Here is a 22,164-nt window from a genome sequence, read left to right as displayed (position 1 = left end):
GAAGGAGACCTGATCTCTTACCTGTTAAGTTCTGTTCTGTCACAGAAATGATCCAGTTCTTTCTATTCTTAGCACTAGTCTAAATAAAATACGTTTTAATTGACCAAGGTTTAGGTAACAATGTCAATGGAATGGAAAACATTGGGAGTCATAATATAGAGCCATTGACTGTAATTGTTGGTTGGGTTTCCAAATCTTTGTCAGCACAGGCAATCTTCACCAGGGAAAGCAGATAAACACATGTATATGTTGATACATACAACTTGAAGTAAAGAGACCTAGACTGAGCTGATTATTAAAAAATGTCCTAATGACATATTTTGCTCAACATATTTTTGCTAACCCCACAGAATTCACTGTGTGAAATTGCTAATCATTCATTTTAAAACATTTCTAGACGTTGACTCATGACTTCTGGAATTTGCTTTATCAAGACACTGGAAAACTATTTGAGAGGCAACATGAAGACTGCTTGGCATACTGTGTAGTGGAAGAATGACACAAATAAAATTAGACGTGGTTTCCACAATGAGTCCTTGAGATGAGGGTTTCGTACTCCAGTAGAATTCAACGAAAATATTTTCACTCATTTTGGAGTAATAAAATTAAGCACTCTTTTCAACAGGAGAGCCCCTAACTTTAATTCTGGCCTGGCGCAGTGGCTCATGCCTATAATCCCAGCACTTTGGGAAGCCAAGGCGGTGGATCACTTGAGGCCAGGAGTTCGAGACCAGCCTGGCCAACATGGTGAAACCCCATGTCTACTAAAAATACAAAAGTTAGCTTGGCGTGGTGGCACAGGCCTGTAATCCCAGCTACTCAGGAGGGTGAGGCACGAAAATCGCTTGACCCGGAGGCTGAGGTTGCAGTGAGCCAAGATCGTGCCATTGCACTCCAACCTGAGTGACAGAGCTCTGTCTCAAAAAAAAAAAAAAAAAAAAATTAAAAAAAGAGAACTTAAAATTTATAAATAAATAAGTAAATAAATAAATAAATAAATTCAAGTTGCCAAGCTCTGATAAATGACATCCACATGCAGGGCAATGGATTTTTTTACTTTAGAAGCCAATGTCCCAGTCCCATATGAAGATGCTTATTCTGAATATGATACAGTAGGGCACAAAATATAATAGGTACTTCCACGTACTGTCACTGACGTTTGATTACAGATGCATTGAATATCCTTCGTAATGAATATTTTTAAAAAGGATAGAAAATCTGTCCCTATTACTTTATTTTCAATAATGTAGTTTTCCCTGGGTTCTAGACTTTCTGCCCGGGTTACATAGCTAAGTACCAACAAAAAGAAAAAAATGTTATTCATAATCTCTAGAATAGTGACTGATTGAAATATACACACATTAACTATATTAATAAACTGATTGAAATATACACACATTAACTATATTAATAAACTGATTGAAATATCAAATAAACTGATTGAAACATCAAATAAAAATACATCTACTGAGTCCGTGCCCCTTCCACCTCTCTCTCTCTCTCTGTCTTTCTCTGTCTATCCACCTATGTATCTGTCTATGTAGATCTCTCTCTTTACATATTGATACGGGAGTGCTGGGAAGGGAAGAGCATGGTCTCTTTAAAAGATAGGGAAGCAGGGAAGGGAAGTGCTGGGTAGAGGAGGGCGTGGCCCCTGTCTAAGGCCCCACCCCCACAGACTTAAGTGAAGACCCGCATTCCTACTTTCTATCCCAAATGTTGCGTTTTCTAAGACCACTCTGGCCCGCCATACCTCCATCCTGGGCCTATAAAAATCCGAGACCCTAGCAAGACAGAAACGGAAGCTGCTGGACGACGAGATGAAAATATCGGCCAAAGAAGACAAGCCACCGGACATTGAGAGGACATCGAGGGGAGCCCCCGCTTGTCGCACGCCCTGCCACAGGGATGAGGGAACCTCTCCAGTTTCAATATGTATGTATATCTATCCACACACATATATAGCCATATATATATATTTAGCTTAACAGTCTTTAGTAGTAAATATTATTGAGAGGTGACAGCATGCTAGCTCGCTCTCGGTGCCTCCTCGGCCTCGGCGCCCACTCTGGCCGCGCTTGAGGAGCCCTTCAGCCCGCCGCTGCACCGTGGGAGCCTTTCTCTGGGCTGGCCGAGACCGGAGCCGGCTCCCTCAGCTTGCGGGGAGGTGTGGAGGGAGAGGCGCGGGCCGAAACCAGGCCTGCGCACGGCTCTTGCGGGCCAGCGCGAGTTCCGGGTGGGTGTGGTCTCGGCGGACCCCACACTCCGAGTGGCCGGCCGGCGCCACCGGCCCGCGGCAGTGAGGGGCTTAGCACCCGCGCCAGCAGCTGCGGAGGGTGCGGCGGGTTCCCCAGCAGTGCCGGCCCGCCAGCGCTGTGCTCGAATTCTCGCCGGGCCTTAGCTGCCTCCCCGGGGGGCAGGGGTTAGGACCTGCAGCCCGCCATGCCTGAGCCTCCCCCACCGCCGTGGGCTGCTGCGCCGCCGGGACCCTCACTGACTAGCGCCGCCGCAGCCTCACTGACTAGCGCCGCCGCCTGCTCTGTGGTGCCTGGTCCCATCGACCACCGAAGGGCTGAGGAGTGCGGGCGCAAGGCGCAGGACTGGCAGGCAGCTCCACCTGCGGCCTCCTGCAGGATCCACTGGGTGAAGCCAGCTGGGCTCCCGAGTCTAGAGGGGACTTGGAGAATCTTTATGTCTAGCCAAGGGGTTGTAAATACACCGATCAGCACCCTGTGTCTAGCTCAGGGTTTGTGGATGCACCAGTCAGCACTCTGTGTCTGGCTAATCTGGTGGGGACTTGGAGAATCTTTATGTGTAGCTAAGGGATTGTGAATACACCAATCAGCACTCTGTATCTAGCTCAAGGTTTGTAAATGCACCAATCAGTACTCTGTGTCTAGCTTAGGGGGTTTGTAAATACACCAATCAGCACTCTGTAGCTAGCTAATCTAGTGGGGACTTGGAGAAGTTTTGTGTCTAGCTCAGGGATTGTAAACGCACCAATCAGCAGCCTGTCAAAACAGACCAATCAGCTATCTGTAAAATGGACCAATCAGCTGTCTGTAAAATGGACCAGTCAGCAGGATGTGGTGGGGCCAGATAAGGGAATAAAAGCAGGCTGCCCAAACCAGCAGTGGCAAGCCCCTGGGGTTCCCTTCCACAGTGTGGAAGCTTTGTTCTTTTGCTCTTTGCGATGTCTTGCTGCTGCTCACTCTTTGGGTCCACACTGCCTTTATCAGCTGTAACACTCACTGCGAAGGTCTGCAGCTTCACTCCTGAAGCCAGTGAGACCAGGAACCCACCAGAAGTAAGAAACTCCGAACACATTGGAACATCAGAAGGAACAAACTCTCCCGACAGGCTGCCTTTAAGAACTGTGACACTCACTGCGAGGGTCCGCAGCTTCATTCTTGAAGTTGGTGAGACCAAGAACCCACCAATTCCGGACACATTATCATTTCCATTTCATAGAAGGAAAAAGAGAGCTTAGCAGAGTTAAGTAACATTACCATGGTCAATAAAATAGTTGTACTGAACTAATAAACAAAGTACAAGCCTGTCCAAGTACAAAGCATTGCTTTAAAATCAGGATATTATTTGTAAAGTCATTTCTCTTCTAAAGGAAGAATGATGTTAAGATTTTACAAATAATTCAGGGTCAGTATTAAAGATTCTTGGGGCCAGACGTAGTGGTTCATGCCTGTAATCCTAGCACTTTGGGAGGCCGAAGCGGGTGGATCCCCTGAGGTCAGGAGTTCGAAATGAGCCTGGCCAACATGTTGAAACCCTGTGTCTACTAAAAATACAAAAAATTAGGTGGGCGTGGTGGCAGGACCTGTAATCTCAGCTACTCAGGAAGCTGAGGCAGGAGAATCACTTGAACCCGGGAGGCGGAGGTTGCTGTGAGCCAAGATCGCGCCATTGCACTCCAGCCTGGGCAACAAGAGCTAAACTCCGTCTCAATAAATAAATAAATATATAAATAAATAAAGATTCTTGGAAGCCACTGACAGTGCACTGGTATCTTAGTGAAGAACATTTTGGTGGCACCCTCCTAGTTCTCTTGTCCAGATATAAAAACTTACTTATTTCGTGTATACAAAATAATAAGTAAAAATGTATCATATAAAAATCATATGTATTATATATGAGATATATGTCTAATATATATGTAGTAGATATAAATATCACATCTTATATTTCAATTATTATTGTATATAGCAGCAGTTCTTAGGTGACTATAGTTAATGATCTTTGAACAATATTAAACAATAGGAGACATTTTCACGTCAATAAGATATTGCATATTAAAATGCACAAGAAAACTTTAAGACAACTAAACTGTCTTCACATATGTGGATACACATATTCCAAAATATATTTTTATTTTTCAATAGCATGTAACATAAAATTGTAACATATATTTAATAGGCCCTACTTTTGCAAGATGATGTGAGTTTCTTTGCTTTGGAAAATATTCTGAATTCATCTGTGACCCTCCAGTGCTTTGTATAGTGCAATGGACTGAAAGTTTGCCCCCTAATTCATATGTTGAAAGCTTTTTCCATAATGTGACGGTATTTATAAGTGGGGCCTCTGGAAGGTAATTAGGATTAGATGAGGTCATGAGGGTGGAGCTCTTCATAATTGGGATTATGAGTGTTCTTCTTATGAAAGCCCAAAAGGAAGCTTGCCTTTCTGCCCTTCACCATGTGGCCATACAATAAGAAATCAGGGTCGGGCGAGGTGGCGCCAACGCCTGTAATCCCAGCACTTTGGGAGGCCGAGGCAGGCGGATCACCTGAGGTCGGGAGTTTGACACCAGTCTGACCAACATGGAGAAACCCCATCTCTACTGAAAATACGAAATTAGCTGGGTGTGGTGGCACATGCCTGTAATCCCACCTACTTGGGAGGCTGAGACAGGAGAATCACTTGAATCCGGGAGGCGGAGATTGCAGTGACCTGAGATCGCGCCATTGCACTCCAGCCTGGACAGCAAGAGGGGAACTCCATCTCAAAAAAAAAAAGAAAAATAAAAATAAATCATCAGTCTGCACCCGGAACTGGACTCTCACCAGAACGCTACAGTGCTGGTAGTACCCTGATCTGGAACTTTCAGCCTCCAAAACTGTGAGAAATTGATGTCTGTTGTTTATGTACCACTGAGTCTATGGTAGGTTGTTACAGTAGCCCCAACTGACTAAGACACGGTATCAGGACCCAAATTGTAATTCTCAAGTTAGCATTGGTTTAAGGTCCAAAGACTTCGCTTTGGCTTCTACTTTTTTATATTCCACAATAGTAAGGATGATTAAATTTCTTTCCTGATTTCTAACCTATACTTTATTAATAATGATAGTACAAGTAATAATTATTCAAATAGCAGCAATAGCTATAGCTAAGATTTAACAAGAGTTCACTAAAGCAAGTATTTATTAAGTACTTTATATATTATCTCATTTATATCTCCTAATAACCCTTCAAAATGCACACTATTATTGTGACTATTTTGCAGTTGAGAAGCTCAAGTTAGAATTGGCCAGAGCACAGAGCTAATACCTAATGAAACGGTGTTTTGCCTCAAATATCTTCCTATTCCTCACTTGTAGATTCATCCTTTAAGGACTGTGTTTCCCAACTGAGGGATTCAAGATCCTGTTCCATGTAGTTCATGTTTTTCAAATGTATTAAAGCTTTATTGCTGTTTTTTAAGGTAGAAATAAAATGGTATTTAAACATTTTCTCATAGAAGAAAAAGAAACAAAGAAGACAAATACTGCTTGTGTTATTTGTCATAAGAAGTCATCACCAATGGTCTTAATGAATCCATTATCCTTTGGACCTCTTACTCATTTGAATACAGCTTACAATAGTGATAATTTTGATAATTGTTATTTTTAATTGCATTCTATAATTTGCATGTATTGCTTAATTTATTCCACTATAACCACTAGTAAATTAGACATCAAAAATAAATAAAAATTCAAAATAAGTACAAATATTTTAAAATTAAATAAAACCACATACCAAAGATTGGCAAATATCCAATCTTTTTTTTTCCACTTATATAAAGTTTAGTTTAGATTCCCTCAGAAACTGTTATGTGAAGATTAAGTACAAGTATTTTATTTTGGGAATTGTTCCAGAGACAATAGTATGGAAATAGAAATACATGGCTCTTATTACTAGTACATCTGGCATTGAATAACAGTGCATTCTAAGCTCTCTATATTGTATATGGTGTGATATCAACTTTCATTGGGGATTTGGAGAAAATAGAATATACTGAGCTGAAATTAGACCTCTTTCCATTTCTGTTACCGCAGCCTCTTCATATCTCTACTATTTCTCCTTTACTCCTGACATTCAAAGTGTTTTGCATTCTATCAGTATTTCAGAATTAATTTATTTAACTGTGTTTAGTAACTTCATAACTGAACTAAAGATAGATGACAGTACCGTCGAATAAAGCAATGGAATAAATTCTGTTAAGAATAAAGAGATAGCAAATATCGAAATTGATTCATATTAGCAAGGACAATATCAAGCAAATTAGACATTTGGATTTCTTTCATGTACTTAGAATAAATAGCTCCTTTGGAGGGATAGGAGCAGAAAACAGATTTCTGGGGACGTAAGAAATAAAGGGGAGATAAGAAGCAATAATACCCTTTCAAGAAGCTTATCTATAAAGAAGAGAATATAGTACCTAGTGGAGAAATTAGGTCAAAGGAGATATTTCTGGACTTATTTTTAAAGCCTGTATTGCTTTTTATAAAACTAAAAAGAATTCTTGTTGATTGTACAATATTGAAAATCCAAATGACTTTTGGTTAATATAAGGAAATATCTTTTTTTAATCACTTAAAAATGGAAAGGGATGATTTATTAGCAAGTGAATTATCTAATGATGCTAATGATTTTTCAAATAAAAAGTCATTTCCTGAATCAAATTCCTTTCTAATTATGTAGAAATATCCTCCTGTATTGTTTGCTTGGAGCTCTTTAGCTATATATACACTAACTGTGTCTATGCTCAAACACTTCCAGTTTGTGCTACAGGTAAGTTTTTTTAAAATATTTATGTTGTTTTCTATGTGGTAGATGAGAGTTACACCTCATTTTTTAGTATTTATATAAGAGATTAACAATGTGCTCTAAGAATAACCACTGAACAGTATTTTAAAGAAAAAAAAAGTTAGACTTTATATGAAGAAGAAACACAAGTGTATATATAAAAGAGAAAACATAGAGATATTTTTCATGGTTAATTTAATTTCCAGATGAAAATGAAAAGTGCGCATATCATCAACTTCTCTTAGTACTCCACTTAAATTTTAGGTTTGTTACGTAGTATAAACATTTGTACTAAGACCTCAGTCTCAAATTCTGGGATAGAGTTTTGTTCCTCAGAGTCTACTAAACTTTTGAAAAGCTGAAAATATTTCGCACAAGGGAAACTTTTTATTTCTTAAAGATAAAATGTTGAAAACTCCATTGTTCTCTCTCCATTTATGCCTATGGTGACACAGTTTATCAATTTTTACATAGGAGGAGCTGGGATGAGTAAATAACTCAGGGCTGGTATATGATTAAATATATTTCACACTGCGAGAGGTTTTTATTTCTAATTTAAGATCATGTTGGCAAATTGCTTGAATAATATTGATCATAGTTTTCTGACCCCCAAAGTTGTTTAAAATGAGTACAAATAGAAGAGTTACTGTGATGGTAAATTGTATATGCCAACTTGATTGGGACATGGGTGTCCAGATTAAACATTATTTCTGGGTGTTTCTGTGAGCATATTTCCTGATGAAGGTAGCCTTAGAATAGGTTGGCTGAGTAAAGCAGATTTTCTTCCCCAATGTTGAAGACCATCCAGTCCACTGAGAGCCTGAACAGAACAAATAGAACAAGAGAGTGGACTTCTCTCTCTCTACCTCACTGTTGAGCTAGGACATCAATCTCCTCCTGCTCTCCACTTAGACAACATCGGTACTCTGATTTTCCTAACTATGGTGCTAGTTTTCTTGGGTCCCTAGGTTGCAGATAGCAGAGGTGGGACTTTTTAGCCTCCATAATTTTGTGAGCCAATTCCTTATAATAAATCATATATACACTCTCTCTGTATATTTGTATATGTCTTTATGTGCATTGCTTGTTTCACTTAGCCTAATGTCCTACCAGGTCATCCATGCTGTATCATATGACAGCATATTATTTTTCAAGGCTGATTATTATCCTATTATATATATGTACTACATTTTCTTTATCCATTCATCTTTATTATTATCCTATTATATATAGGTACTACATTTTCTTTATCCATTGAAGGACACTTAAGCAAATTCCATATTTTGACTATTGTGAATAATGTGGCCATGAACATGGGAGTGCAGATACCTCTGACATACTGATTTCATTTCCTTTGGGTGTATATCCAGAAGTGGGATTCCTGGGTCATGCAATGATATTGTCTTCAGAAATATGAAAAAAATTCTAAATTTATATGAAACCACAATAAAACCCAAATAGTCAAAATAATCTTGATCAAAAAGAACAAAGCTGGATACATCACACTACCTAATTGCAAAATATGCTACAAAGCTATAGTAACCAAAATAGCATGGTATTGACCTAAAAACAGACACATAGACCAATAATAGACCAATAATAATACAATAATAGACATATGGAACAGAATAAAGCATCCAGAAATAAGTGCATTTATTTTACAGCAAACTGATTTTTGACGAAGGTATCAAGAATACACAATTGGGAAAAAAAAATCTCTTCAGTAAATAGTGTTGGGGAAATTGAATATCCACATGCAGAGGAATGAAATTAGCCCATTATCTCACACCACATACAAAACACAATTCAAAATGGATTAGAGACTTAAATGAAAGACTTGAAACTGTAACATTTTGAGAAGAAAGCACAGACAAATTGTATTAGTCTGTTCTCACACTGCTATAAGGACATGGCCGAGACTGGGTAATTTATAAAGGAAAGAGGTTTCATTAACACACAGTTTTACAGGGCTGGGGAGGCCTCAGGAAACTTATGACCATGGCAGGAGGGGAAACATGATGGCAGCAAGGAGAAATGAAGAGCAAAAGGGGAAAAAGCCTCTTGAAAACCATCAGATCTTATGAGAACTCACGCACTATATCAGCAGAACAACATGAGGGTAACTGTCCCCATGATTCAATTACCTCCCAACGGATCCCTCTCACTACTTGTGGGGATTATGGGAACTACAGTTCAAGGTGAGATTTTGGTGGGGAAACAGGTAAACCATATCGGGAACATTCTTGATATTCCTGTAGGGAATAATTGTGTGGCTCTGACCCCAAAAACACAGGCAACAAAAGGAAAAACAGCAAACAGAATTGCATCAAACTAAAAAGCGACTGCACAGCACAGGAAACAATCAACAGAGTGAAGAGACAACATATATAATGGGAGAAAATATTTGCAAACTATCTATCTGATAAGGGGTCAATATTCAACATATATAAAGAACTCAAGCAACTCGGCAGCAACAAAGCAACCAGATGAAAAATTAGCCAAAGGACCTGAATAGATGTTTCTCCAAAAAGGCATCCAGATAGCCAACATGTATATATGTTCAACACAATCATCAGGGAAATACAAATCAAAACCACAATAAGATGTCACCTCACACCTGTTAGAATGGCTTTTATCAAAAAGGCAAAAGATAAGTTTTGGCAAGGATGTGGAGAAAAGGGAACCCTGTGCACAGTTGGTGGGAATGTGAACTAGTATAGTCATTATAGAAAAACATATGGAGGTTCCTAAAAAAAATTTTGTTATTTTAATGTTAGACAAAAGCATCTCATTTTTTATATTAGTTTTATCACATGAAAGTTGTGTAAACTTTGTGTTGGTCTCAGACCTTTGTCACTAAAATGAAGGTTAAAATGAGATGAGCCATGTAACCCCCCAGAAACAGTGTCTGACATAGAATAACCATGATGGTGAGGTGTGGGAGGAGGAGGAAAAGGTGAATTCAAGTCTGTTATGGAATACATGGTTAGAAAAGTGGCATCAGTGGTGTTGCCTTTCTTGAGAATTTAATTTCTCACGTTATATTACCTAACATTAAGTACAATGAAGTATTGGAATTCAGGAGCCATTTATGGCACTTTGAAATCCATTTTTTGTTTTCTTTCCTTTTTAATAATTCTACTGTGACATTTCTCTATTCATTAAGTGTATACGTGTCTTTCTTATGTATATTTTAAAAAGCAATCTTGAATTTTGTTGTCTGAGAGATTGGAATTTCTAGTTTTATTTTTCACTTGTATTCATATTTGGCTTTATTACCATTTTTTTTTTCTTGAGACAGAGCTTCACTCTGTTGCCCAGGCTGAAGTGCAGTGGTGTGATCTCAGCTCACTGCAACCTCTGCCTCCTGGGTTCAAGTGATTCTCCTCCCTCAGCCTCCCAAGTAGCTGGGACTACAGATCTGTACCACCATGCCTGGCTAATTTTTGTATTTTTAGTAGAGATGGGATTTTGCCATGTTGGCCAGGCTGGTCTTGAACTCCTGACCTCAAGTGATCCACCCACCTCAGGCTCCCAAAATGCTGGGATTACAGGCATGAGCCACTGTGCCTAGCCTTATTACCTTTTTTAATGACTGTTGATATTACTTAATTACTTTAAAAACATTGTTTATTATATGTGTGTACATGACTGCATCTATATAAAGTTTGTGATAAAAGTTACTTTAAAAACATTTATTATATGTGTGTACATGACTACATCTATATAAAGTTTGTGATAAAAGTTATTTCCCTTAAAGAGAGTTATACAATCTTAAGACAAACCAGAGTATATTTGTTTATTTTAAACACTTCTGCAGATTGTATTTTATTATTCAAACTGTAAGAATTCATTTCCCAATGCATATCTGAAAATTATTGAGGCATTCATTTTTGTATTTCAAAACACAGTATACTTTTATTATTTGTAATGTTCTCCTCTTCTCTTCTGTTTTATACTAAGACAATTTAATTGTTGGTTGCTTTATATATTTTGTTTTGCTTTCCCTTTTTTCATAGAAAGCTTTATTTTCCAAAGTGTTTAGAGTTCAAGGTACTAATTATTTTTTTATTTTAAGAGATGTTACTTCATTTTTTTCCTTCCCTTTTACTCTGTGTTTTCATTGTTGCTCAGAAAATGAAAACAAATATAGTAGGATTGCTGTATTTGGGTCTATATGAATAATGAATTTGTGATGTACTTAATCTGTGAGGCCATACATAGTAACTTTAATGCAGTCAACTTAGTGAAAATTAGTGCTGTAGATACTTTTCATACATTATTTTATTTAATCATTAAAGTGGCATCATTATTCCCACTAAAAGAAAAGTAGGAATGTGAGTAAACTTACTAAGGTTAAATAGTATTCCCAGCAACAAATAGTTAAGGGAAGGGTTGGAGTTTCTAACCTGTATCTGTCCTATTCTAAAGATGGTCCCCTCCCCTCAACCAACCTTGACAGTCCATTCTTTCCTTTCAACTGTGTATTTGCTTATTTCATTGATTTTCCAACTTCCTTAAACATTTAATGTCCTCGTTATAGGACTCATAATTATCCATGCTTATGTAACTTTTAATTACAGCTTATTAACTTCCTTCCCCATAAATGATTTAAATGTGTCTATAATACTGAAAAGTATCATTTTTAAATTAAAATATTTTAACTCCCACATTTATTTGCCACTTTTTCACTCCACGCTTGTTTAATTTTTAGCTTGTTACACTTGAGAATATTTTGAAATTGATACATTCTTATTTTAGTGTCATTTTCTTTCTAAATAAAATGGAAAAAATATATATTAGACTTTCCCTGCTTTGCAGTCAGCCCATTTTCTCCACAGTCTTGATTTCTTTTCCAGTTCGTCTGTAGGATAAATTCTGCTGTTCTTAAAGTTCACAAAACCTTCCCTGCCAGGATTTGAATGATGGCCCTTCGGCTCATCCCACTAAGCTTTCCCCCACAGTGGCTCATGCACCAGAAGCCCACAGTGAGTTCCTTCCCCTTGCATGTGCTCCACTTTTTCTACATTTTTTTCTTTCTTTTACTTTTTGTTCCTCTGGCCTTTTTGCCTTCCTGTGCCCGAGACAAAGAGGATTTTCTTGTTGTCTTTCTACTTCCCCTTTTGTATTTCCTTCTCTCCATTTCACATCAAACTTTCATGTTTCCCCATCTTCTCTGTTCATAGTTAAGATTTTCACCTTGCTGATTTCATGGGATTAACAGTGAGCAATATTTTCTGAGTAATCTTAAAGAAGTTCTATAACAACAATTTATTTTCATTGTTTTTTCAAGTTCCACTGCCAGTGTGCTCTTCCTTTTATTAAGTGAGCCAGGCCATAGACACATGAATCCAAGTGGCAGTTGGTAAAATAGTGTGTACCACAGTATTAAGTATAACTTTTCTGTGACAGGTCCTGGTGTTGGGAACATTTCTCCAGTAAACGAGGCACACTCTCAATGCAGAGACAAGCTCTCATTCAGTTTTATGCTCAAGGTGCCTAGCAGTGTCAAGCCTATGGAAATATTTGTTGAGTGAACAATGCATGAGTGGAAAAAAAAACAACAAAATCAAATCCGAGGTTTTCCTCATAAATAACCAACTATAAAGCTATCAACTAACAAATGCTTGTCCTTTTATAATTAACACCAGTATTTTTTGGGGGGCTGGGGGAGAGAGTCTACTCTGCCTTAGGATAAAATGAGCTTATTTAACTATAATTCCATTGAATCATATGGCATGACTTTATTTTAGATAATTACACAGTCCAGTGTATCTGGATATATAAAGTATCATATGAAATATTTACTAATATTTTTAAGTAAGTGTAAATTTTCATGTCAATATTTAATTTGGATAAGCTTCTAGCCATTATTCATCATGGTTTTTTTTATGCATACTTTTATAAAGCTGTGATCAGTAAAAATTCACCAATATGAGAAGATTATAATATGTTGCAAATATTGTAAAGCTGAAAATGGCAGAAAAAATAAAAATGAAATCATAAACTGAGATTTTGTTCTTAAGACAATGTGCTGTAAAGAGGAAAGGAGCAATAAAATAATAAAAATACAAAATATTTTTGTTTTATAAGTTTATTTTGGTAATTACATAAAGCTATATAAGATGGTTCTACCCGTCATTTATACAAGCCAATTCTAACGTCACCATCTGTGGAAGAGGACAGAAAAATAAAAATAAACAAATAAGCCAATTCCACCCCACACACTCGCCCCCATGCATACACATACATATACATCTTTTAGTTTTATATTAACCTGATGCCTATAACATGCCCATTAGGAAACTGGCGGATAAACAGGTTTCACATTCTGAAGTCCCAGACTACGTTAGTCAAATTGAACCCTTCAGCACTTATGCCTTTTCTGTGTTTTCTGTCATCAAACTGCTTAACTTAGTTTAAATTTTTATTTATTTTAAATAAACTATGCATACATTCTAAAAATTAAAAAGTATATACTCATATAAGCTATTGAATTAGAGTTTCTTCTAATTATTTGAGAGTTATTTTCTTTAAGGAAGAGAAAGAAAACCACAAAGCTTCACTACCGTTTTCTTGTTAGATGTTAGACTCTTTTGTGTTTGAAGAAATGGCCACTGAATGAACATTAAGCAAGGGAGGTTTATTTTTATGATTGAAAGCATAACAAAATATAGGACATAGTTTGAAGAGCACACCTTCAGTGAAAAAAGTCAGCTTTCCCTATATGTCTATAACAAGAGAGAACAACCCAGGCCTTCTCTGGCTGCAGAGGTGAGCTACCTCATGGCCCCAGGCATGCTTTGCTTTCTCCTTTCCTGATCTGCCACTTTTGTGGCTCAGCTGTTTTCTCCTTATGCTTGTGGTGCTTTATGCTTGTGATGCTGACTCACTCTAGTTCAAACTCTAAAGGGACAAGGTGGCTGACTGTATTATTTTCTCAATATTCACTATCACGACCTACCATGTCTCTTCTATGGGCCGCTCTATGGAAAAACTGCACATGCCTGCTCTCTTGACCACACCTATGTCATGCCACTTGCTTGGCCAATGTAATGTGAGTAGAAGTGGTGTATGTCATGCCCAAGTAGGTGCTTCAATAAGTCAGAATGTTGTTTACTATGTCCGTTTCCCCTCAACCAGCAGATTGACAATGTTCAAATAGAGGTTCTCTGTCAATCTGTCTCCTGAACTGAAGACACTTGGAACAAATCTACAGTCAACCACAATGGATATGTACCATGAGTAAGACATTCTTGATTGTTATTTTACACCACTGAGATTTTAGGGTGATTCTTCTATCATAGAATAATATAGCAAATCCTGATACAGAAATTCTAAGATGGCCAGGTGTGGTGGCTCACGCCTGTAATCTCAGCACTTTGGGAGGCTGAGGTGGGTGGATCCTGAGGTCAGGAGTTCAAGACCAGACTGACCAACATGGTGAAATCCTATCTCTACCAAAAATAGAAAACAAAACAAAAAAATTAGCTGGGCGTGGTGGCGCACGTCTGTAATCCCAGCCACTCTGAAGGCTGAAGCAGGAAAATTGCTTAAACCCGGAAGGCAAAGGTTGCAGTGAGCCAAGATCACACCACTGCTCTCCAGCCTGAGCAACAAGCAAGACTCCATCTCAAAACAAACAAACAAACAAACAAAAAAGAAATTATAAGATCAGTTGCCTAGCATTAACCTAAGGAATTTATCTTGGGTGGTGCTATTGTACCAACTTATGGGTTGATAGCCTATACATTGGCTACCTTTTAGTTATACAGCTATTCCTCATTTAGTCATCTGTGGCCAGCAGAGAAATTTCAGGTAGAAACAGACATGATTATCTGGTCATAAAGAATATCTCAGAGTTTTCTTTTGAAAACTTTCTTGTTCTAAAGAGGCAAGAACATAACAGCCAACATAATACAATTGGATTTTGATATATGTTTGAGTAAAAGACAAAATAATTTGGGAGCAACATTCTTGTCTAATAAAACTTGTGGCCAACTTATTTGTGAGTGGTGAGATTAAAAGTTCTTTGTTCAAAAGGCAACTTGCCTATTCAGTATTAATCCAGTGATACATGCAATGTTTTGGAAATAATTATATATATTCTAGAGAAGAAATTCAGATATTAGGACATAGGACATAGCTATAAAAAGCATTTTTAAATTTAGAAAATAAATCCCTTTATAATTCCAACTATATCCATGTGCTAAATGTCATTGTGACATAATTTTAAGTTTTACAAAATGAATTTTAAACTGTGGAGATTATAATGAAATCCTTTTTCTTCTTTGTGAAGTAAAATGTCATTGAAGTAGGTTCAATGTGACCTTTATTCAGAGTTGCAACTATTACGCTACATAAAGTGTTCAAACTATGCAGTGCCAGATGAAATTATAGCAAGTGAAATCACTAAAGCACTCCTAGAAACATTCAGACCGTTATGTGTTTATACATTTTCATTCATGTAGCCATTCATTCATTCCTCCATTTAATCAGTGAATAGTTATCGAATGTTTATTATGTGCTAAGGACTATGCTAACTATTCAGAAAGCAGCAGCAAAAAGCACACAGATCTGTTTGGAAGTTTTCCTCCTGACAAATGTCTTTAAATTAATAAGCAGTAACTAGTTATGTGCATTCCACATTCTAAGAATTTAAGACAATTAAAAGAAAATAAAACTAGCATTTTAGAAGAGTAGACCAGAATAAGAATATGTCATAAAATATTCAGAAAGTACATCATAATATAAACGCAATAGCGTTTATTTACTTTCATGTCTATGAGAAATATATTGGTTAATAGATTATATGTTCTAAATAGTACTAGTGAATATCTTAAGTGAAATGTTTTCCCTTGAATCATTTTGGAAATTACATTTTTCAGTTAGCAAATATTTTGTTATATAAAATAATTTTAGTAAATCTCAGGGTATATTAAAATATTAATATTTATCACATAATACATTATTTTAGTATTATAGGATTTCCCAAGATGACAAAAGCAGGTCTAATTTATTCCCTGAAGAAAGTAATATTTTAATATGAATGATGAAATAATATTGCATAGATTTTTAATACAAATAAGTCTATAACAAGTATTATAAGGGAAGTACAGGTAAATCATAGATAGTTTAGAGAAGAGCAAAATCACCCTTTGATGTAAGATTAGAAGATATTTTTCTCAAAGGTAACCTTTATGTTTTGCCTTATAGATAACAACAATTTCAGTAGTCATAACAAAGCATAAATGAAGAGATTAATGTAGGGTAAGATTGACAAGGCTGTAACACGAGCGTGAGAAAATGTGAATGGTTCACTTTGTCTGGAGCATAGTTTTGCGTAAAGTGCAGAACAAAGTTGAATTGACGGGAGGAACTTGATGATAGGGCACCTTAAACATTACTTTAAAGAAACTAACTCATTCCATTGGAAGTAGGGAGACAGTGATAGTTTTTTCACAGAAAGCAGGATAAGCATAAGTTTTTCACTAGAAAGTTTAATCTAACAATAGTGTGCAGAATACATTACAAATGGAAGATGGTAGCACTAGGAATAATATAAATAAAAGCAATTGAGGATCTTTAAACATTTAAAGGAGGAGATAGGAGAAAATCAAAGATATTAAACATAATGATGAAGAGAAAATACAACAGAGTAAGGCAGTAGAGAGTGGGAAAGTCAGAGATTCTTGTCAGAATAGGGAAACTCAAAATTCTTGATTTTGAATATCAAACAATTTCAAGAAATAAGTTTAACAGGTAGCTATGTCTGAATCAGAATCAAAATATGTCTTGACTTATAGAATAAAATTAATTATGCTTATCCTAAGCTTATTATTTTTTCATGAATAAGGGTTTTCCCTTGACAGTAGAACCAGATTGCTAAATATATGGACCTTAAAAAAGCTCAACATTTTAAAAAAATAAGTCATATGAGGATATCAGAAGTGTTCGTAATATGTTAAAACTGACCATGTATACAGTACACATTATTGCTTGTCCACATTTGGTAAGCATATACACACTCCATTATACTTGTTTCTCTTTTGAAAACTTTCTTGTTCTAAAGAGGCAAGAACATAACAGCCAACATAATACAATTGGATTTTGATATATGTTTGAGTAAAAGACAAAATAATTTGGGAACAACATTCTTGTCTAATAAAACTTGTGGCCAACTTATTTGTGAGTGGTGAGATTAAAAGTTCTTTGTTCAAAAGGCAACATGATTCCAGCTATTCCATTAGTCTCCATTATATTTTTCTCCTGCCTGGCCAAATATGAATAATACAAAATGATGAGTCATCTTTGTTATGAAAAGATGAATACTTTTCTAGAAAACCCCCTTTAGTACAAAATCTTATAAAATAATAATTCATTAAATGATATTTAGAAGAAACATTTTATTAAACATGCAATTTAAGCATCAAGGTCATATTTTAAGTAGCAAAGATGGTAATAAAGTGGTTGTCGAAAACTTTAAACATACCCATGTGACTTTATTTTCATCCGTTTAAAACATCAAAATAAAAGTTCATATTAGATTATCTCATATATATAGTTGTTTTTTCAAAGGCCTAAATTTAACTAATGTTTCCCATACTTACAAATACTGTTTAAACACTTTTAAACATGATTATCTGGTTGTTTATAAGATTCAGGCGAGTGGTTACTCCTGAAGAAATATTACAGTTATCCTTTACTTTATATCTGAATTAAGTCAGTATTTTACAATACAATTATTAGTCCCTTTTAATTATGGAAGTTCTCTATCTTAAGGGAAGTAAATTGTTGCCCAAGTCACTTGAGACATCCAAGGTCTGCCACGTGGGACAAAATCTCAGAATCTTGGCTGCCCTCCACTTTGGGCAAGTATTTTCTTCCTGCCTCACTTCTTTCTGCCATCTCAATTTGTGTTTTTTTAAAAGCTTCCCAACTCTGCCCTGCAATCTTGTATGGCCTTTAGAATTGCCCTATAATGTTTCTTCATCGCAACATTAAAGTATCTACTAGTTAACTTTTCCTTCCAATTTTAGGGTGCAAACACGTGCTTTAAGATAAAGGTTTTCATTGCTGTATACTTCACAGTGATTAGGGATATGGACTGTACTAAATGACGTTTACTTCACAGTGATTAGGGATATGGACTGTACTAAACGACGTTTGCTTCACACTTCTAGCCTGCCAAAAAATGGAAGAGTGCATGCCACCAAAGCCCATTTTAATGACAATTCTATAGGCTGTTTCAGATGATGGTAAATCTGTACTTTTCCTCTTGTATGATTACCTATTTCACACTTTATTAAATAAAATTTTTCTAAATAGTCCATTTCATTGTAGATACTTTTAGAAACAGAAGTCATAAAGTGCACTTTCGATGGTCATTCTGAAATAGTAGAAATGCCTGAAAGATGCATAGTTTTCTAGAGAGGAGTGGACTGTTCAAAAACAATTAAGGTGAAATAATTAAAGAGAACAGATACCTGACATAATAAAAGTCTGAATTATAAGGCTTGTAAGACTGTTCAATTACTTTGAAATACATATAGTAATCTGAGTCAAAGACTAATTAAGTGAATACAGATTAATTATATTAAGAGACAAGGATCATTTGTAGTTTGGCTAGTCAAACTTTTATGGTGGAAAATGGTAGGTAAATATACATTCTTTTTTTCCCCTTTTCTTTCTTCCTTTTTTTTCTCTTTTACTATACTATTAATGAACAACCACTTTGAAAGCTGGGAATAAAGCTAAGTAGAATAAATTTGCATTTGGAATTTAATATATATTTTAAGACACTTAAGTGTTATAAGGGGCCATTAGCTCACAATTAAAGGCAAAGATATATTTAGGGATAACTATTCATTTGTTTTCCTCAGCTATGAGTAACAAATAGCCTTTTTCAAATCAGCTCTGAGAAAAATGGCAACATTATCTCATATAGCAGGATATTCAAAGGAAGGGCCAGTGCCAGATGTGGTGAATCTGAGTCCTAGCTCTGTTTCTCAGATTTTCACCTTATTTATCATGCCAGTCTTCATTCAGTCTTATTGTTTTCATATTTGCAAGATGGCTATTAGCAGAACCTAGGGCCTTTTTTGTCTTTTCATATATAGGGTGGAAAAAAAAGGAAACTTCTCTCATAGCCAAGAGATTAAAGTTATTTCTTTATAGGGATCAAGTCAGTATAGGACTTGTACCTACCTTTAACTACTGACGTTTATCTCGAGAATATTCTCTTCTGTGTCCTGATTCAATTTAGCCTGTTTCTGTATCAATTACAGATAAGCATGATTATTTAGACGGGTCAGGACCTACCTCTGGACAGAAGGATAAAGTTAGCTTCCTGTGATTTACAAAGTCTATGTACGACACAAAGAGCCAGATTAACAAAATTGGGATTATTTTACAGAGAATAAGAAGTAACTAAATATCAGGTAAACAACCAATTATATCTACCACAGAAGGAATTTTATTTCTTCACTTTAAAACAAATACTTAAAAATGGTCAGTTGGAAACAAATTTCATAAGTTTCTGATATTTGCAAATAATTATATGTTCTCAGAAATATTTGTTTTTATTACTTAATAAATACATTTTTACTACTTAATATGTGTTGGGCACTTATAGATATTGATAATGTAACAGTAAATAACGTAACACATGTAGTCTAGCAGCGGCGTAGAAAATGTTTACGATAAAGTAATAGAGTGGGGACCACATCAGTCCATGACCTAAACCTTCTTTGCTGAACTCACTGCAGGGGGTGTACACATATTACTTATGACCCTCTTTCACATAGCCATCATGGGTGGAACCTTGGGCGAATATTCAACCTGAATATAACCACCAACTTACTCTCTTTTCAGACAGCATGGTCTTCTCCTAGAGAAGATCTAATTTAGAACATTGTCCCCCAACACTGAATTTGAAATTGATTCCTCATGTTCAGGATATTCAAAAAAGTTTTCTAAACTTTCTTTTTAAAAGTATCCAACCACGTTGATCACTTAAGAAAAAGAAGCCTTGTGCTATTAAAGAAGAATAAGGAGGAGGAAGAGGAGGAGACGGAAGAGAGGAGAAGAGAGGAGCAGGGGAAAAGCATACGGACAGAAGAACACACAAAAGACTGAGAGTTGATTCTGATGGCATTTTCTTTCTTAGGTAGTTTTTTCTAAGCTCCAGACTCATTATCATCCTTGTTTTCTACAAGCCACACTAATATCATCTTAATAAATTATTTTATTTTTTGCTGAAAAACATCTTGAGTCCTTTTCTGTAACTTGTGATGAATTAATTCCTAAATAACGTAGGTCACATGTGCTAATAACTATTGTTGTATTTGTTGTGCACTTCAGGCAGTTTACATAAATGATGGAATATTAGGTCTGAACATTTATTCAAGCCAACCATCTGGGACAATCAGTACCCTAGTCAGACATACCCACTTCAGGAGTGTTCATCTATTAATGAATCACAAAGGCCACTCTTGGGGAGATAACTGCAAGTCTTTCAGCTCTTGCTAAAATCCAAAGGAAAATAAAAGAGAATTTCAATACGTGTGGCTCTAATGTTCGGGATGAAAATGTGAACCTATCTTTCACTATATAATGTATTTTCCCAAGTACTTATTACCCCTTGAGGTAGTTATTAACACTGCTAAGAAATATTTACGACTTCTTGCCTCTATCTACATGGTGAGATTTTGTGTCCTGCTCCCTGTAATACAGGTGGATATAGCAGCAAGTTCCAGCTAAAGAATTATGAGTAAAAGTGACATGCTTCACGGCCTATCATCTCCCCCAACTTTGCCATGGACACCAACAATGCTTGGGATGATTGCTGACCTATCAACATAAATCCTTAGGAGAAGATGATGGGCTGAGTTGACAGCTAAACTCAGTATTAGGTAATTGAATGTTTCATTTGATTGTAAAAATTTAGGGTGTATTTTTAATGACGAATAAGTCACTAAATTCTACCATATTTTTCCATAGTTTGATAAGACTATCAGAGTTTTTATCTTAAGATGACTATTCACAGCACAGATGTACATATCAGTTTATCCCTGTATGATGCTTTACAATCATTTCACTGCCAACATTCAGCCAATGTCTCTATTTGTGTTTTGAAAAAACTTCACCTGTGATTAATGTGTACAACTGATTTTTGTTTATGTGTTGTTAACATTTGAGAAGTTATCCATCTATGAAAGTAATAGCACATTGAAAAGATTGGTCCTCTGAGTTTCAAATAGCAAGGGGAAAATAAATGGAGCTGTGGGAAATTTCAGGAAGGCTAAATAAACCAAATAAAGTTCAACTTCCATCTGAGTCTACTAGTCAATATTTTAAGCCATCTTCTGGATGGAAAGGAAAAGTGGAAATTTACACTATTGTACAATTGTTATTTTGTTAAATACTATCTGTACTAATAGACTAAAGGTCTCCTGTTAGGGGTGATGTGATATGTTATTAAATATAAGGGAATTAGAATGAATTATATTAAATCTACTGTGAGAATATGCCTTGTGACTTTTCAGATAAAGTCCAAAAATAATTTAAAATTTGGGATAAAGAAGAGGACGCTTATCATTGGCTTTTACTAGTTGCTTGTTAACACATGCACAAAATCATATTTACTCATTTTTCAAACATTATAAATATTTTTCCCCCTTCTCTCTTGTGTGAAGTTAAAACCGTCTCACCATGACCTTTTCAGTATTCTGTAATTTGATTTGCTTGCCATACCCACCTTGCCCTGTTTACCATCCCAGGAAGTGTGATTGGAACAGACAACCAGTCAAAATGGAGAATATTAAAAAGGTCAAAGTAGTAAAATTTACTGTCCAACTTTTCCAGGAAATAAAAGAATATTTACAGTTTAATATGTGCCTCAGATGACAGGCTGTCCAAAGAAACAAAAGTGAGCAAGATTGTATTTAGCTTATGATAGCAAATATAACAGGCAAAGGGATTCAAGAAGGTGTTATAATTAGTAGTTATCCCCATATTTATTATTTTGGATGTTTAAAAGAAAGCCTTCTTGTCGATATGTCAGAAGTAACTTTGAAACTTGAG

At 36.1% G+C, this 22,164-nt stretch overlaps 1 long non-coding RNA gene across 1 annotated transcript, besides 2 other annotated features; it reads left to right on the top strand.

The window, feature by feature from the left end:
• Positions 325-525: a silencer, noted in NCBI's record as "peak3089 fragment used in MPRA reporter construct". NCBI's record gives its function as "represses an SCP1 promoter by STARR-seq MPRAs in K562 erythroleukemia cells {active_cell/tissue: K562}" and the evidence as "EXISTENCE:reporter gene assay evidence [ECO:0000049][PMID:32103011]".
• LOC124904344 (uncharacterized) lies at positions 1,661-20,344 on the top strand. Its single transcript, XR_007066444.1, has 2 exons — positions 1,661-1,935; positions 20,075-20,344. It is a non-coding gene; the product is annotated as an uncharacterized LOC124904344 (long non-coding RNA).
• Positions 1,767-1,958: a silencer, noted in NCBI's record as "fragment chr18:27755683-27755874 (GRCh37/hg19 assembly coordinates)". NCBI's record gives its function as "represses an EF-1alpha promoter that drives an FKBP-Casp9 reporter gene in an ReSE screen in phorbol 12-myristate 13-acetate-treated (for megakaryocytic differentiation) K562 erythroleukemia cells {active_cell/tissue: K562(+PMA)}" and the evidence as "EXISTENCE:reporter gene assay evidence [ECO:0000049][PMID:32094911]".
• Positions 20,345-22,164: the final 1,820 nt, after the last annotated feature.

This window comes from Homo sapiens, chromosome 18 (assembly GCF_000001405.40).
Source record: "Homo sapiens chromosome 18, GRCh38.p14 Primary Assembly".
Taxonomy (NCBI): Eukaryota; Metazoa; Chordata; class Mammalia; order Primates; family Hominidae; genus Homo; species Homo sapiens.
This window is presented reverse-complemented; position numbering and strand designations above follow the sequence as displayed.